The 16,482-nt window shown below is 48.1% G+C and overlaps 1 protein-coding gene and 2 pseudogenes across 4 annotated transcripts in view, besides 3 other annotated features; all 3 read left to right on the top strand.

Annotated features, from left to right (window-relative positions):
* The window catches only part of PTAFR (platelet activating factor receptor), a 46,691-nt gene extending 38,720 nt beyond the window's left edge, over positions 1-7,971 (top strand). For all 4 annotated transcript variants that reach the window (NM_001164722.3, NM_001164721.2, NM_000952.5 and 1 more), the window contains one exon: positions 4,078-7,971. In NM_001164722.3, coding sequence (NP_001158194.1) covers positions 4,116-5,144 — 1,029 coding nt within the window. In that variant the 5' untranslated portion in view covers positions 4,078-4,115 and the 3' untranslated portion in view covers positions 5,145-7,971. The remainder of the gene's footprint in view (positions 1-4,077) is intronic.
* Positions 6,440-6,940: an enhancer, noted in NCBI's record as "H3K4me1 hESC enhancer chr1:28474708-28475208 (GRCh37/hg19 assembly coordinates)". NCBI's record gives its function as "activates a minimal SCP1, AML or CMV promoter by ChIP-STARR-seq in naive H9 embryonic stem cells {active_cell/tissue: H9 hESC(naive)}" and the evidence as "EXISTENCE:reporter gene assay evidence [ECO:0000049][PMID:30033119]".
* Positions 6,706-6,845: an enhancer, noted in NCBI's record as "active region_585". NCBI's record gives its function as "activates an Ori minimal core promoter by ATAC-STARR-seq in GM12878 lymphoblastoid cells {active_cell/tissue: GM12878}" and the evidence as "EXISTENCE:reporter gene assay evidence [ECO:0000049][PMID:35858748]".
* Positions 10,496-10,545: a silencer, noted in NCBI's record as "silent region_534". NCBI's record gives its function as "represses an Ori minimal core promoter by ATAC-STARR-seq in GM12878 lymphoblastoid cells {active_cell/tissue: GM12878}" and the evidence as "EXISTENCE:reporter gene assay evidence [ECO:0000049][PMID:35858748]".
* RNU7-29P (RNA, U7 small nuclear 29 pseudogene) lies at positions 10,923-10,981 on the top strand (annotated as a pseudogene).
* RNU6-176P (RNA, U6 small nuclear 176, pseudogene) lies at positions 12,296-12,400 on the top strand (annotated as a pseudogene).

The following is a 16,482-nucleotide window of genomic DNA, read 5'->3' as shown; positions in this document are numbered from 1 at the left end:
CAGGAAATGTCTGGACAGGTTTGAAGGTCCGCCTGGGAAGTCCGTTCTGGCTAGAGCCTGATGCTAAGGTGGCACGAGGTGAGGGTGGAGTGGCAGCTGGAGGTCAGGGCAAGGGCCATCTGATAAGCTTATTTCCGTTCCTGGAAACCACCAAGCTCTTGCCGCACTTTTGGACCCATGCAGAGTTCTCTGCCTGGAATGTTCTGCTCTTGTTCCTCCTTCAGGCCTCAACTGAAATGTCACCTCCTTTCTAAGTAGATCTCTTTTTGTTCTCAATATCCGTGCTGCCCTCCCTCCCCCCCCACTTTTTTTTTTTTTTTTTTTTGAGACAGAGTCTTGCTCTGTCACCCAGGCTGGAGCGCAAAGGCATGATCTGGGCTCACTGCAACCTCTGCCTCCCAAGTTCAAGCGATTCTCCTGTCTCAGCCTCCCAAGTAGCTGGGATTACAAGTGCCCACCACCATGCCTGGCTAATTTTTTGTATTTTAGTAGAGATGGGGTTTCACCGTGTTGCCCAGGCTGGTCTCGAACTCCTAAGCTCAGGCAATCCACCCACCTTGGCATCCCAAAGTGCTAGGATTACAGGCGTGAGCCACCACGGCCGGCCCAATCAGCACTCCTGTTTGTTTGTATAACAACGGTGTTTGTTTAAATTGCTTTTGTCTGTCTACCCCGAGAGATGTAAGTTCTCTGAGGTCAGGGCCCCCTTGCTGGGTGTTCGCCCTATAGCTCCTGTGCTTAGCTGTGTGCCTTACCTGCAGTTGGTGCTCAGAAATATTTGTTGGATGGATGTGTGAAAGAACAGAGCTGGATCTGAGATCCTGGCACCATTCCTTAATAGCCGTGTGACCTTGCACAAGTCATATAACCACCCCGTAGTCAGCTTCCTATTCTGTAGCATGGGATCTTACTTCCTATGGCAAAGTGTTTGTGTGAGACTCAAATGAGGTAGTACACGTGGAAGCACCTAGCAGGGTACCTGGCTCCAAAGAAGGTGCTCCAAGTGTTGTCTTCCTTGTGTCTCACTCCCTTTTTTTTTTTTTTTTTTTTTTTTTCTGAGACAAGGTCTCATCCCATTTTCTGAGACAAGGTCTCACCCCATCATCTAGGCTGGAATGTCAGTGGCACAATCTCCGCTCACTGCAACCTCTGCCTCCCGGGCTCCAGCGATCCTCCCACTTCAGCCTCCCAAGTAGCTAGGACTACAGGCAAGCACCACCACGCCTTGCTAATTTTTTTTCTTTTTTTTGAGATAGAGTCTCAATCTGTCTCCCAGTCTGGAGTGCGGTGGCACAATCTCGGCTTACTGCAATCTCCGCCTCCCGGGTTTAAGCGATTCTCCTGCCTCGGCCTCCAGAGTGGCTGGGACTACAGGCACCCACCACCACGCCCAGCTAATTTTTGTATTTTTAGTAGAGACACAGTTTCACCATATTGGCCAGGTGGGTCTCGAACTCCTGACCTTGTGATGTGCCTGCTTCGGCCTCCCAAAGTGCTGGGATTACAGGTGTGAGCCACCGCGCCTAGCCTGTATTTTTTTTTTTTTTTTTTTTTTGTAGAGACAGGGTTTCACCATGTTGCCCAGCCTGGTCTCAAACTCCTGGACTCAAGGATCTGTCTGCCTTGGCCTCCCAAAGTGTTGGGATTACAGGCGTGAGCCACCACGCCTGGCCTACTGCGCTCTTTTTACTACACTATTAGATATTATGAGCTGGACCTTGCTTAGCCCCAGCTGGGTTCTTGCTTCCCATCCTCCTCCCTGCCTGCTGCTTCCCTGAGTCATGCCCACTGCAATGTAAATAACAGGGCAGCTCCTAGGAGCTTGCAATGACAGCAATAGTGGGAGGAACAAGAGGGAAGGGAGCAACTGTTTTGTTTTGTTCGAAATGGTGTCTCACTATGTTGTCTAGGCTGGTCAAGCGATCCTTCTGCCTCAGTACCCTGAGTAGCTGAGACTACAGGCGTGCACCACTATGCCTGGCTAATTGTTTCATTTTTTATTTTACTAGAGACGGGAGTCTCACTGTGTTGCCCAGACTGGTCTTGAACTCCTGGGCTCACTCGGTCCTCCCACCTTGGCCTCCCAAATGCTGGGATTACAGGCATGAGCCACTGTGCATGTCCTTACATTGTATTTTCAAAATTTTAAATTATTAAGATAATAAATGCCCTTTAAAGATTCAAACAAACACATAAAAGTATAAAGTAAATAAACTTCCCACTAAGCTACCTCACCTTCCCAGAGGCTACTTACCACTGTCAACTATTTGAGGTGTATCCTTCTAGATCTTCTATTCAAACACGCATATATAGTGGGGTCATAACAAACATTTTCTGCAACTTTTTTTGTTTTGTTTTGTTTTTATTATTATTTATTACTTATTTATTTTTTCGAGACAGAGTCTTGCTCTTCCTGCCCAGACTGGGGTGCAGTGGCTTGATCTCAGCTCACTGCAACCTCCACCTCCCGGGTTCAAGTGATTCTCCTGCCTCAGCCTCCCAAGTAGCTGGGATTACAGGCGCCTGCCACCACGCCCAGCTAATTTTTGTATTTTTAGTAGAGACAGGGTTTCATAATGTTGGCCAGGCTGGTCTCGAACTCCTGACATCAGGAGATCCACCCACCTCAGCCCAGCCTCCTGAGTAGCTGGGACTACAGGCATACAACACCACACCCAGCTGATTTTTTGTGTTTTTGTACAGACAGGGGTTGCACCATGTTGGCCAGGCTGGTCTTGAACTCCTGACCTCAGGCGATCCGCCCACCTTGGCCTCCCAAAGTGCTGGGATTACAGGCGTAAGCCATCATGCCTGGGCAGACAGTTATATTTTAAAATGGAATAAAAGAAGAGAAACAGAACTGCCATTGATTGTATTGACTATCAGGTGCTATTTATTGTAAAAACACACCATTATTTTATGTAGGAAAAAACACTGCATGGTCAGGGGTGGTGGCTCTCGCCTGTAATCCCAGCACTTTGGGAGGCCAAGGCTGGCAGATTCCTTGAGCTCAGGAGTTCGAGAACAGCATGGGCAACATAGCAAAACCCCTTCCCTACAAAAAATACAAAAATTAGCTAGGTGTGGTGTCACACGCATACCTGTAGTCCCAGCTACTCAGGAGGCTGAGGTGGGAAGATTGCTTGAGCCCAAGAGGTTGAGGTTGCAGTGAGCTGTGATCGCACCACTGCACTCTAGCCTGGGTGACAGAGCAAGACCTTGTCTATAAAAAGCAAAAAACAAAGAAAAGAAGAGAAAAAAGGAAGAGAAATGTATTTCTCATAGTTCTGGAGGATGTTCATGATCAAGGCACCAGCAGGTTTAGTGTCTGATGCCTGGTTATCTGCTTCCAAGATGGCACCTTGAAAGCTGTGACCTCACATGGCAAAAGGGATGGAAAGACAAAAAGGGCAATATTAAGTGCTTTCTTCAACCTTGAGCCCCTTTTTAAAGAATTATTATTTTTTTTTTTTGTGTGAGACAGAGTCTCACTTTGTCACCCAGGCAGGAGTGCAGTGGCACAATCACAGCTCACTTCAGCCTTGACCTCCCTGGGCAACCCGGAGCCCTTTTCTAAGTGTGCTAATCCCATTCCACCCTCTGACTTAATCACCTTCCACAGGCCACACCTCTGCACTGGGGATTAAGATTCAACATGAGGCCGGGCACAGTGACTCATGCCTGTAATCCCAGCACTTTGGGAGGCCGAGGTGGGCAGATCACCTGAGGTTGGGAGTTTGAGACCAGCCTGAACAACATGGAGAAACCCCATCTCCACTAAAAATACAAACTAGCCAGGCATGGTGGTGCATGCCTGTAATCCCAGCTACTTGGGAGGCTGAGGCAGGAGAATCGCTTGAACCCGGGAGGCGGAGGTTGCGGTGAGCTGAGATCACGCCACTGCACTCCAGCCTGGGCAGCAAGAGTGAAACTCCATCTGAAAAAAAAAAAAAGATTCAACATGAACTTCTGAGGGGACATCATCATTCTAACCATGGCAAGGAGTCTTGGAACTGATGAAATGGAACAGTCCCTTCTTGTCCCTTTATTAACCAGAATTTTTGTGTGGTCTTCCAGGCACCACCAGGACCAGCTGATCATTCCAGCCCACAGCAATGGAGCCACATGACTCCTCCCACATGGACTCTGAGTTCCGATACACTCTCTTCCCGATTGTTTACAGCATCATCTTTGTGCTCGGGGTCATTGCTAATGGCTACGTGCTGTGGGTCTTTGCCCGCCTGTACCCTTGCAAGAAATTCAATGAGATAAAGATCTTCATGGTGAACCTCACCATGGCGGACATGCTCTTCTTGATCACCCTGCCACTTTGGATTGTCTACTACCAAAACCAGGGCAACTGGATACTCCCCAAATTCCTGTGCAACGTGGCTGGCTGCCTTTTCTTCATCAACACCTACTGCTCTGTGGCCTTCCTGGGCGTCATCACTTATAACCGCTTCCAGGCAGTAACTCGGCCCATCAAGACTGCTCAGGCCAACACCCGCAAGCGTGGCATCTCTTTGTCCTTGGTCATCTGGGTGGCCATTGTGGGAGCTGCATCCTACTTCCTCATCCTGGACTCCACCAACACAGTGCCCGACAGTGCTGGCTCAGGCAACGTCACTCGCTGCTTTGAGCATTACGAGAAGGGCAGCGTGCCAGTCCTCATCATCCACATCTTCATCGTGTTCAGCTTCTTCCTGGTCTTCCTCATCATCCTCTTCTGCAACCTGGTCATCATCCGTACCTTGCTCATGCAGCCGGTGCAGCAGCAGCGCAACGCTGAAGTCAAGCGCCGGGCGCTGTGGATGGTGTGCACGGTCTTGGCGGTGTTCATCATCTGCTTCGTGCCCCACCACGTGGTGCAGCTGCCCTGGACCCTTGCTGAGCTGGGCTTCCAGGACAGCAAATTCCACCAGGCCATTAATGATGCACATCAGGTCACCCTCTGCCTCCTTAGCACCAACTGTGTCTTAGACCCTGTTATCTACTGTTTCCTCACCAAGAAGTTCCGCAAGCACCTCACCGAAAAGTTCTACAGCATGCGCAGTAGCCGGAAATGCTCCCGGGCCACCACGGATACGGTCACTGAAGTGGTTGTGCCATTCAACCAGATCCCTGGCAATTCCCTCAAAAATTAGTCCCTGCTTCCAGGCCTGAAGTCTTCTCCTCCATGAACATCATGGACTGAGCTGGGGGAAGAAGGGATATCTACTGTGGTCTGGGCACCACCTCTGTGGGCACTGGTGGGCCATTAGATTTGGAGGCTACCTCACCTGGGCAGGGATGATGGCAGAGCCAGGCTGTTGGAAAATCCAGAACTCAAATGAGCCCCTTCATCCGCCTGTGGGCGCATACTACAGTAACTGTGACTGATGACTTTATCCTGAGTCCCTTAATCTTATGGGGCCGGAAGGAATGTCAGGGCCAGGTGCAGACCTTGGGGGAAGACTTTAAACCACCTAGTTCTCCCCGATGGGGCATCGGTCTAAAGCTTTGGGGGAGTGGGCGCAGTGGCTCACACCTGTAATCCCAGCACTTTGGGAGGCCGAGGTGGGCAGATCATGGGTCAAGAGATCGAGACCATCCTGGCCAACATTGTAAAACCCCATCTCTACTAAAACATACAAAAATTAGCCGGGCATGGTGGCACACGCCTGTAGTCCCAGCTACTCAGGAGGCTGAGGCAGGAGAATCGCTTGAACCTGGGAGGCAGAGGTTGCAGTGAACCTAGATTGCACCATTGCACTCTAGCCTGGCAACAGAGCGAGATTCCATCTCAAAAAAAAAAAAAAAAAAAAAAAAAAAGCTTTGGGCAACTACTCTCAAGTGATAGAGGTAGACTGGGTTAGGAAAGGACACTGCCCTCACTGTATGGCACTACCTTGGGGCAGACTTTTGAGCTAAGATGTTGCCATCCTCTCTCCACCCTCCGGCACAAGGTCTTTGTGACCTTTCTCAGGGGAAGGGGCTTGATGGAACCTTCTCTGACTCATCTGGCAACCTGTCCCTAATGGTGACCAAAGAAGATAAAACATGAACAGACCAAAAGCTAGGACAAGAGCTTGCTTCCCAAGACAGACGTGTCTGTCTGCAAAGGCCTTGCCTCTAGTCCAGTCAGCTCTGGGGGAGTGGGAAGGAGATGCCCACCTCCTCTTTCTGTCTCAACAATAGTCCCTAATTAAGTACCTTCTGTGGGGCAGCCACCCACTGAGGGTGGGCAAAGGCCCCTTGAAAGCAAAATTGGGGCTGGGCTCAGTGGCTCATGCCTATAATCCCAGCACTTTGGGAGGCCAAGGCAGGCAGATCACCTGAGGTCCGGAGTTCGAGACCAGCCTGGCCAACGTGGTGAAACGCCATCTCCACTAAGAATACAAAAATATGGCTCATGCCTGTAATCCCAGTACTTTGGGAGGCTGAGGTGGGCCGATCATTTGAAGTTAGGAGTTTGAGACCAGCCTGACCAATATGGTAAAACCCCGTCTCTACTAAAAATACAAAAAAATTAGCCTGGCGTGGTGGCGCATGCCTGTAGTCCCATAGGCTGTAGCTACTGGGAGGAGGCGGAGCTTGCAGTGAGCCGAGATCACGCCACTGCTCTCCAGCCTGGGCGACAGAGTGAGACTCTGTGTCAAAAACAAACAAACAAACAAAAAAGGCAAAATTGGAGCTGTCCAGGCCAGGACACCCCGATGTCCAGGGGCTTCCATACGAACAGGCACATGGGCTGGGAAGTACATGAGGCCCCTGGGTAGAAGGGTCTGTCAGTTCTCTCCTCCCTTGCCCTCTGGGAGGGTCCTCCTAACATAGCTTCCAGGAGGTGGGAGGAGCAGTTACTGTCAGCAGGTGTCAGCCAGGTGTCAGCTTCTCCTGGGGATCTCTAGATGTCTGCTTGTGATTTTTGGCAAGTATATGCAAATGAGCCTCCTCTCCTGCCCTGAGACAAGTATCTGCAGTGTGAACCTGGCAGCCTCAGACCCAAGGGGCTCAGAGGAAACTTCTCTGGTTTCTAGAGCTCTGTGCTCCTTCAGAGAAGTCTTCCTTCCTTCCAGTCAGTGTCCCTGTGAAGCTGGGATACTCATTTCCTGTGTACCGGGCAAACACCGGATTGCTGATTTTGAGAAATGCCTCTCGATGGACCTGTAACCTGCTGGAGTCTGGGATGGTAGCTGTGGGCTGGACTTGGCTGATGGGATGACCCGGTGGCTAGTGCAGCATCACACAAGCCTGGTTCAAGTCTTGGCTGTGTCATTTCCTGCTGAGGGACCAGGCACTGAATTTCCTACCTCTTAGGGTCATTACCTATGAGGTTAAAGCTACCTCATGGGATTGTTATACGCCACTAATGTTGAGGCAGACACCTCTTGGCAGGGTGACTGCTCATCTTAGACCCTCCCCTTTTCTGCGAATTTGGGCCCCTTGATCCTCTGATGGGAGCTGAAAGGATGAGAGGTGGGCATCTAGATTTAGGGAGGCTGTTCAGGCTTTGCAGGTCCCTTACCTGAACACATAGAAACCCTGGAGCTGTGACTGTGTCCATGTGTGTGTGTTTGTCTGTGTGTGTTGCGGGGGATGGGCACCTGCATGAATGTGGTAGAGAAAATGGCTCTGCTCAGAGGGAAGATACGCATAGCAAGGCAGGGACCAGAGGAATCACAGGCGCCTGGAGAGCAGCCGGGCACCGCCTCCAGGGACCTGCCGGCTTCCCTCAGTCCTCCAGGGGCCCAGCACTCTTCCTTTAGGCCCTGTGAGCGTCCCTTGTCAGGATACATTCTCTCATTTTGCTGAAGCTGATTTGATTGGGTGTCTGTTTCTCGCAGCCAAAAGAGCTCTGAATGAGGAAAGTGCTTCTGTGCTAACTCCCCGCGTCTCCTGAATTTCAGTCATTCATGTACCCGCCTCGAAATTTTTGCAATATCTGTGTACCAACTGTCCATTTACTTAATAAAGAAGTTTTCTTTAAATTAAGTCACTTTTAAAAACTTACATTTATTTGAAAGAAAACATTATAACATAATTGTAAATGAAAACTAATACTACCTGCCACAAATAGAAGGTAGACATAAACATAAAACCGTAACTATAAAAATGTTTCTCGCCTGGGTGCGGTGGCTCACACCTGTAATCCCAACATTTTGGGAGGCTGAGGAGGGTGGATTGCTTGAGCCCAGGAGTTCGAGACCAGCCTGAGAAACATGGCAAAATGCTGCCTCTACAAAAAATTTGTGGGTGTGGTGGCTCACGCCTGTAATCCCAGCACTTTGGGAGGCCAAGGAGGGCAGATTACCTGAGGTCAGACGTTCAAGACCAGTCTGGTCAACATGGCGAAACCCCGTCTCTACTAAAAATACAAAATTAGCCGGTCATGATGGTGGGTGCCTATAATCCCAGCTTCCCAGCTACTTGGGAAGCTGAGGCAGGAGAATCACAATCACTTGAACCCGGGAGTTGGAGATGGCAGTGAGCCGAGATCGCGCCACTGCACTCCAGCCTGGGTGACAAAGTGAGACTCTGTCTAAAAAATAATAATAATAAAAAAATTAAAAAATTAAAAAAATTAGCCAGGCGTGGTGGTGTGTGTCTGTAGTTCCAGCTACTTGTGGGAGGCTGAAGTGGGAGGATTGCTTGAGCCAGGAGGCTGAGGTTGCAGTGAGTTGTGATCATCATGCCACACTGCATTCTGACCTCGGTGATAGAACAAGACCCTGTCTCAAAAAAAAAAAATAGTTTTTCTGTGTTGTGTCTAAAGTCACTTGACATGTCTCAGTGACTTGTGTACACACTTTAGGAAACTCTACTTTGATGGGTATAAAGTGCACAGGGTCTCAATAAAGAATAACTCTGGGCCCATGCCTGCAATCCCAGCACTTTGAGAGGCCAAGGCAGGAGGATTGCTTGAGCTCAGGAGTTTGAGACCAGCCTGGGCAACATAGCGAGACCCTGTCTCTAATTGGAAAAAAAACAAGAGTAACTGACAGTTCTGAGACAGTGACTTGTGATTACCTCCTTGCTTCTCCCAGGATGTTGCCCCAACACATAGACCATGCGCTCATGGGGATCAGGGGGATGGGAGGAGTATATTAGGTTGTAGCCCATGCTCCAGCCTTGTTGATCTCCTCACCACCCCAGTACAGCCACCTTTACTCCTCCTGTATCCTCTGTCTTTTCTGTTTTTTTCTAAACTTTTTTTCCTGGAGGTGGGGTCTTGCTATATTGCCCAGGCTGGCACGCAATGGCTGTTTACCGGCATGCCTATTGCACACTACAGGATCGAACTTCTGGCTTCAAGTGATCCTCCTACCTCAGCCTCCCCAGTAGCAGGGACTACGGGAATGGGTCACTGTACCCAGCCCTTCTCTTCTTTTTTATTTTATTTTGTTTTATTATTATTATGTTTTGAGATGGAGTCTCGATCTGTCACCCAGGCTGGAGTGCAGTGACGCCAGCCTGGCTCACTGCAAGCTCCACCTCCTGGGTTCATGCCATTCTCCTGCCTCAGCCTCCCGAGTAGCTGAGATTACAGGCCCATCACCATGCCTGGCTAATTTTTTTGTATTTTTAGTAGAGACGGGGTTTCACCGCCTGGCCAATTTTTTTTTTTTTTGTCAGTGTTGACCAGGCTTGGCCTCAAACGTGTAGCCTCGCCTCCCCGAGGGCCAGGACGACCGGCCTGAGCTGCCGCAGCTCCCCTCTTCTTTTTGACATATCCCAGAATACTCCAATAGGTAGCCTTCTGAATTCCTCCAGGCAGCATTTTGGGACTGGGAGGGTCCAACATTTGTATACCTTAATTACTGTGACCATTGAAATTAATTCCTTTCAATGCCTGTCTTTCCTATCCTGGGGGGCAGGAACCGGATCTAAATAATCTGTCTCCAGTTTCTCACATATAGCCTGGAATTGAGATCTGTCTGTCTCCAAAGTGTACAGCTTCCCCAGGGTTTAGCATAAACAGACATGTTGACAGATACATGCAAATATTTTAAAAGGTTTTGAGAAGACTCTATAGAGATAGATGGAAAAGAAATGTAATACATGTTCTTCCAAAGTTCTAGGTCCATATTTTAAAGGAAGATGTAGGGAGTTTTCAGAGAATCAGAACATCTTGGAGCTGGGAGGGTTCAACCCCTTCATCTTACTAAGGAGATCGTGGGGCTCAGAGAGACTAAGTGATTGCAGAAGTTACACAGTGTGGAGCTGCAGCGGATGCAGGGCTGGCTGTTCACCTGCATCTCTCCATTCTTGCAACGGTGACAGGAATTATGGGAAAAGCTGAGTTGTAATTCTTTTGATGAAACATCACTGATTAGAATTTCCAAGGCATCCTGTGTATCAGGAAAGCCTCACCTTGCATTTGCCCCTGATCTCAGCTTTTGCCTCAGGGAACCACCAGTGATCTCAGTTGGAGAATGCTTGCTTATGTAAGATCTGGCCTCGTTGAGATGAGTCATAGACCCAAGAGTGGTAAGTGGAGGTCACAGTTGACTAGACCTGGATACATTTATGCCTGTTTTTACTCATCTGTGTTATATATGTGCTCAAGACCTAAGGCCACAAAGAGATATAAGACCTTCTTGTAAAGCACCTGGTTTTTGTGCAGACTTGGTATTTCTGTATAAAAAGTCCTATTCCCTTTGATATCCTACCAGCAAGCCATCCTCCCACATACCCATCTGTCTATCCACCTATCCATCCCTCCATCCCACCATCCCTCTATCCATCTATCTATCCCTCTAACCATCCATCCATCCATCCATCCATCCATCCCTCCATCCCTTTAGGTACCCAACAAACACCTATGGAGTGCCTATTTTGGTCCAGTAACTATGCTAAGCACAATTTTGATCTGTTATCTCACTGAAACCTCATACTCCCTGAAACATGGGTGGTTTTATCCCGACAGAAATGAATAAAACAAATGTTACAGCTCTTTTAGAATTTGTCTAGCAGGCTTTTCAGTTTTTGCCAGAAAGCCCCTTAAAAAAGAAGGGAAAAAAAGAAATGAATAAAATAAATAAGGACCCAAGCTGACTGAATAAGACATAGTGGCTGCCTCTCAGGTACCTGGTACAGAAGGAAGGGGGACCCAGCTATTTGCTTGCCACTTTCACCTATCTTATGTCATTGAGTCCTCACAACCACCCCACAGAATAGAACATTTCATGCCCATTTTACAGATAGGGAAATCGAGTCTCAGAAGGGTTCAGAGATTTATAAAGGTAAAAGAGCTACTAAGTGGCATAATAATATTCAAAGCCAGATCTGCCTTAGTAAGCATGGGTCCCTTTCCTTCTCTCCTCCCACTCCACCATGTGGCTGTACCCTTGCCCAAGCCCCTCCAGGCACAGCCTCCTAAGCGCTGGGACAGGGCTGTCTTGGGGGAATGACCCAAGAGGCCTCCAGTGGAAGGTGAGGGCCTCCGCCTTGCTGTTTCTGGCTTCCTCTTTGAGGCCTCTGTGCTCCCTATGCATGTTGAAGCCCCAGCAGCAATGACTGTTCCCTGGGCTCAGGCTGTGCTCAGCTAGGGAGGGTACTCCTGAGGGTGGATGGCGTCCATGAACACAGTGTTCCAGAGACCCTCAGAAGCCAGAGTGGTCATTGTCACTGGAGCTAGAAGGTGCTCTTAGATGTCACCTGGATCCTGACAGCTCTGTAAGGGGAGGGACAGAGGTGGCCACTCAATATTTGCTGACCACTTACTGCAAGGGGAACTTCACGTCATTTACTCCTCCCAAACACCTATGGGTAGAACTGCCTCTTCCCTCTGCCTGAGTTACTTTCTTCCTGGATAGCAACATGGCTCACTCCCTTGCTTCCTTCAAGGCTTTGCTTAAATGGCCCCTTCTCGGTGAGGCCTGCTTGACTACCTCACTTAAAAATGTAGGCTTGGGGCCTGGCGCAGTGGCTCACACCTTTAATCCTAGCACTTTGGGAGGCCGAGGTGGGTGGATCACCTGAAGTTGGGAGTCGAGGCCGGCCTGGCCAACATGACAAAACCCTGTCTTTACTAAAAATACAAAAATTAGCCGGGCATGGTGTCAGGCACCTGTAATCCCATCTACTCGAGAAGCTGAGGCAGGAGAATCACTTGAACCTGGGAGGTGCAGAGATTGTGGTGAGTTGAGATCATGCCACTGCACTCCAGCTTGGGCAACAGAGCAAGACTCTGTCTCAAAAAAAAAAAAAAAAAAAAAAATGGAGGCATGGGTAGGAAGCGTGCAGGGTTTCATGGCCCTGCAGCCTCATTAGACTCAGTACCCTCCTGAAAAAAAAAATTAAAAATATAACAGCGGTGCTTGCTTCGTCAGCACATAACTAAAACTGGAACAATATAGAGATACAGATATGGCCCCTGAACAAGGATGACACACAAATTCATGAAGCATTCCATATAATTAAAATAAATTAAAAAAAATGAAAACCAAATCCCCACCCCCAAAATACAGATGCTTAGAGAGTAAAGTGATTCCCAAGGTCACACAGCGAATGGCTGGCCTAGCTGGGTATGTCCAGCTCCAAAGCTCATTCTGCCACACTCCCTTCCCCTGTGGACATCTTTCATGATACAGAATGTGAAGGTCCCTATCTTCCATCTTCCAGACAAGAAAGACGAGCATCAAGCAGGTGAAATGACTTACATCCAAGGTCACGCAGCAATAATCAGGATGCAGAGATCCTTATTTTACCTCTACTGTGCAAGATGCTTCTCATACATTTTTGTCTGAATGCATGTCATTTTCCTTCTTTTTTTTCTTTATCTTTTTCTTTTTTTTTGAGACGGATTTTTGCTCTTATTGCCCAGGCTGGAGTACAATGGAGCAAACTTGGCTCACTGCAACCTCCACCACCCGGGTTCAAGCAATTCTCCTGCCTCAGACTCCCGAGTAACTGGGATTACAGGCATGCACCACCACGCCCAGCTAATTTTGTATTTTTATTAGAGATGGGGTTTCTCCATGTTGGTCAGGCTGGTCTCAAACCCCCGACCTGAGGTGATCCGCCCGCCTCGGCCTCCCAAAATGCTGGGATTACAGGCGTGAGCCACTGTGCCTGGCTAACATGTCATTTTCTTTTATCATCATTTTCCATTCTCATCCTCCACAGCAGTTCTAGTGCAGGCGATATATATCCTTGATGTAGGTATGCTTGTAAAACGTATAGTGTTATTCTGTGTGTGTATCCATTTTAAATTTACATAAAAGTTATAGTTCACATAATTTGACCTTATTCTGTGTCTCATTTCCCCTGCCTCAGCATTATTTTTGCAATGGAATCATGTTGGAGTGTGTACATCTAGTTCAACAATGTCAGTGTCTGCTGGGTCCTCCACTGTGTACATCCACTACATTCTACCCATTCCCTTGGTGATGGACACTCAGGTTGCCTTCTGTTCCCTTTACTTTTCTTTCTTTTTTTGGGTGGGGGATGGTGGGGGATAGAGTCTCTCTCTGGCCCCTAGCCTGGAGTGCAGTGATGTGATCTTGGCTCACTGCAACCTCTGCCTCCCAGATTCAAGCTATTCTCCTGTCTCAGGCTCCCGAGTAGCTGGGATTACAGGTGCCCGCCACTGTACTGGGCTAATTTTTGGATGTTTAGAAGAGACAGGGTTTCATCACGTTGGCCAGGCTGGTCTTGAACTCCTGACCTCAAGAGATCTGCCCGCCTCGGCCTCCCAAAGTGCTGGGATTACAGGTGTGAGCCACTGCACCAAGCCCCGTTCCCTTTTCTATAACCAATGCTGTGAGATTCTTCCAGGTGTTCCCTATGGACAAATATAAGAATTTTTCTAGAATGTAGACCTGGGAGTGACATTCCCAGGTCGTAGGCTACACTTATTTAATTTGGTAAAGAATTGTCAAATTGCTTCTGGAATGGCTGCACCAGTCTACATTCCCACCCCTAGTTACACAAATGTGTTTATTTCTGTGCATTCCTACCAACACTTGGCACTGTCCAACTTTAAAATTGCAGGTAGGTGTAAAATAAAAATCTTGTTTTTAGTTTGGATTTCTCTAGCATTACTTTTTTTTTTTTTTTTTTTGAGGCAGGTTCTTACTCTGTCACCCAGGCTGAAGTGCAGTGGCATGAACATGGCTTACTGCAGCCTTGAATTCCGGGGCTCAAGTGATCCTCCTGCCCCAGCTACCCCAGTAGCTGGGACTGCAGGCACACCACCATAACTGGCTCACTTTAAATTATTTATTTATTTATTTATTTATTTAGAAGGAGTTTCACTCTGTTGCCCAGGCTGGAGTGCAGTGGTGCAATCTTGGTTCACCACGACCTCTGTCTCCGGATTCAAGGAATTCTTCTGCCTCAGCCTCCCCAGTAGCTGGGATTACAGGCGCGTGACATCATACCCAGTTAATTTTTGTATTTTTAGTAGAGACAGGGGTTTCACCATGTTGTCCAGGCTGGTCTCGAACTCCTGACCTCAAGTGATCTGCCTGCCTCAGCCTCCCAAAGTGCTGGGATTATAGATGTGAGCCACCGCGCCTGGCCAATTTTTTCTTTGTTTGCCAGGCTGACTTCGAACTCCTGAGCTCAAGCAATCCTCCCTCCATGGCCTTCCAAGTTGGTGGCATTACAGGGGTGAGCCACTGAGCCCAGCAATCTCACATTATTAATGGTTTGTAATCATGTACTCATTAGACATCTGAGTTTAAATTCAGACAATTCTGACTCCAAAGTCCATACGGTGTCACAGAATGATCAATAAAGTGGTCTCTGGGGCCACATTGCCAGGGTTCAATTTCTGTCTCTGCCACTTCCTAGTCTGTGATTTTTAGGTAGACTTAACCTCTCTGTGCCATTTTCCTCATCTGTAAAATGGGAATAATTATACTGACGATATAATAGGATGGTTTTGAGGATTTAGAATTGGTTAGAACAGTGCTTCCCATGAAATGAACTTAGTAAATATTATGTCCTGGCTGGGCACGGTGGCTCATGCCTGTAATCCCAGCACATTGGGAAGCCAAGGCGGGAGGATTGCTTAACCCCAGGAGTTTGAGACCAGCCTGGGCAACAGAGTGAGACTCTGTCTCAAAAAAAAAGTGTTATGTCCTGACCTGATGGAGTGTGTCTTTCTCCACACATAACCTCCCATTTCCTCCTTCCTTCCTTCCTTCCTCTTTCTTTTTTTTTTTTTTTTGACGGAGTCTTGCTCTGTCGCCAGGCTGGAGAATAGTGGCGTGGTCTCAGCTCACTGCAACTTCTGCCTCCCGGGTTCAAGCGATTCTCCTGCTTCAGCCTCCCGAGTAGCTGGGACTACAGGCACACGCCACCACGCACAGCTAATTTTTGTATTTTTAGTAGAGACGGAGCTTCACCATGTTGACCAGGATGGTCTCAATCTCTTGACCTCATGATCTGCCCGCCTCGGCCTCCCAAAGTGCTGAGATTACAGGTGTGAGCCATCGCGCCTGGCCCATAACCTCTCTTTTCACTCCAGCCCATAATCCCATTCCCCTGCCCCTTTTCACCAAGTTCATGTTCTGTAACCCTGCATTTTCTTTAGAAACCTGAAACCATAGCAGAGAGGAACACAGTGGGACTAGTCAGGCTTTCCCCTTGTATTTGACTTCCCAGACCATTCTAAAACACGCTGAGTGTTTCTTAAGAAGCCAGAATTGCCACATGCATGAGTCAGGGAATTTTGGCCTTTGGAACAAAAAGGATGAGTTAGTTCCTCAAAAAGGAGGATGAGGCATCAAAGGACACCATCAACAGAGTGAAAATGCAACCCACAGAATGAAAGAAAATGTTTGCAAGTCATATATCTAATACAAGATTGATACCTAGAATATATAACTCCACAATGAAAACCAAACAACTTGATTTAAAAATGGGCCAAGTACTTGAATGTACATTTCTCCAGAGAAGACCTACAAATGACCAGTGAGCACTTGAAAAGATGCTCAATATGACTAATCTGTAGAGAAAAGCAAATCAAAATCACTATGAGATAAAAACAGAAAACAAGTGTTGGCAAGGATGTTTAAAAATTGGAAACTGTGGGCAAGGCACAGTGGCTCACGCCTGTAAGCCCAGCACTTTGCGAGGCTGAGGCGGGCAGATTACGAGGTCAGGAGATCGAGACCATCCTGGCTAACATGGTGAAACCCCATCTCTACTAAAAATGCAAAAAAATTAGCTGGGTGTGGTGGCAGGTGCCTGTAGTCAGTCCCAGCTACTCAGGAGGCTGAGGCAGGGGAATTGCTTGAATCCGGGAGGTGGAGGTTGCCGTGAGCCAAGATTGCACCACTGCACTCCAGCCTGGGCAACAGAGCGAGACCCGATCTCAAAAAAAAAAAAAGAAAGAATCACCGTTTAATCTAGTAATTCCTTCTTCTTCTTCTTTTTTTTTTTTTTTTGACGAGAGTCTCACTCTGTCACCCAAGCTGGAGTACAGAGGCACCATCACGGTTCACTGCAGCCTCAAAGTTCTGGGCTCAAGGGATCCTCCCACCTCAGCCT

The sequence above is a fragment of the Homo sapiens genome, chromosome 1 (assembly GCF_000001405.40).
Source record: "Homo sapiens chromosome 1, GRCh38.p14 Primary Assembly".
Lineage (NCBI taxonomy): Eukaryota > Metazoa > Chordata > Mammalia > Primates > Hominidae > Homo > Homo sapiens.
The sequence above is the reverse complement of the archived record's forward strand: the minus strand, read 5'-3'. Positions and strand labels throughout refer to the sequence as shown.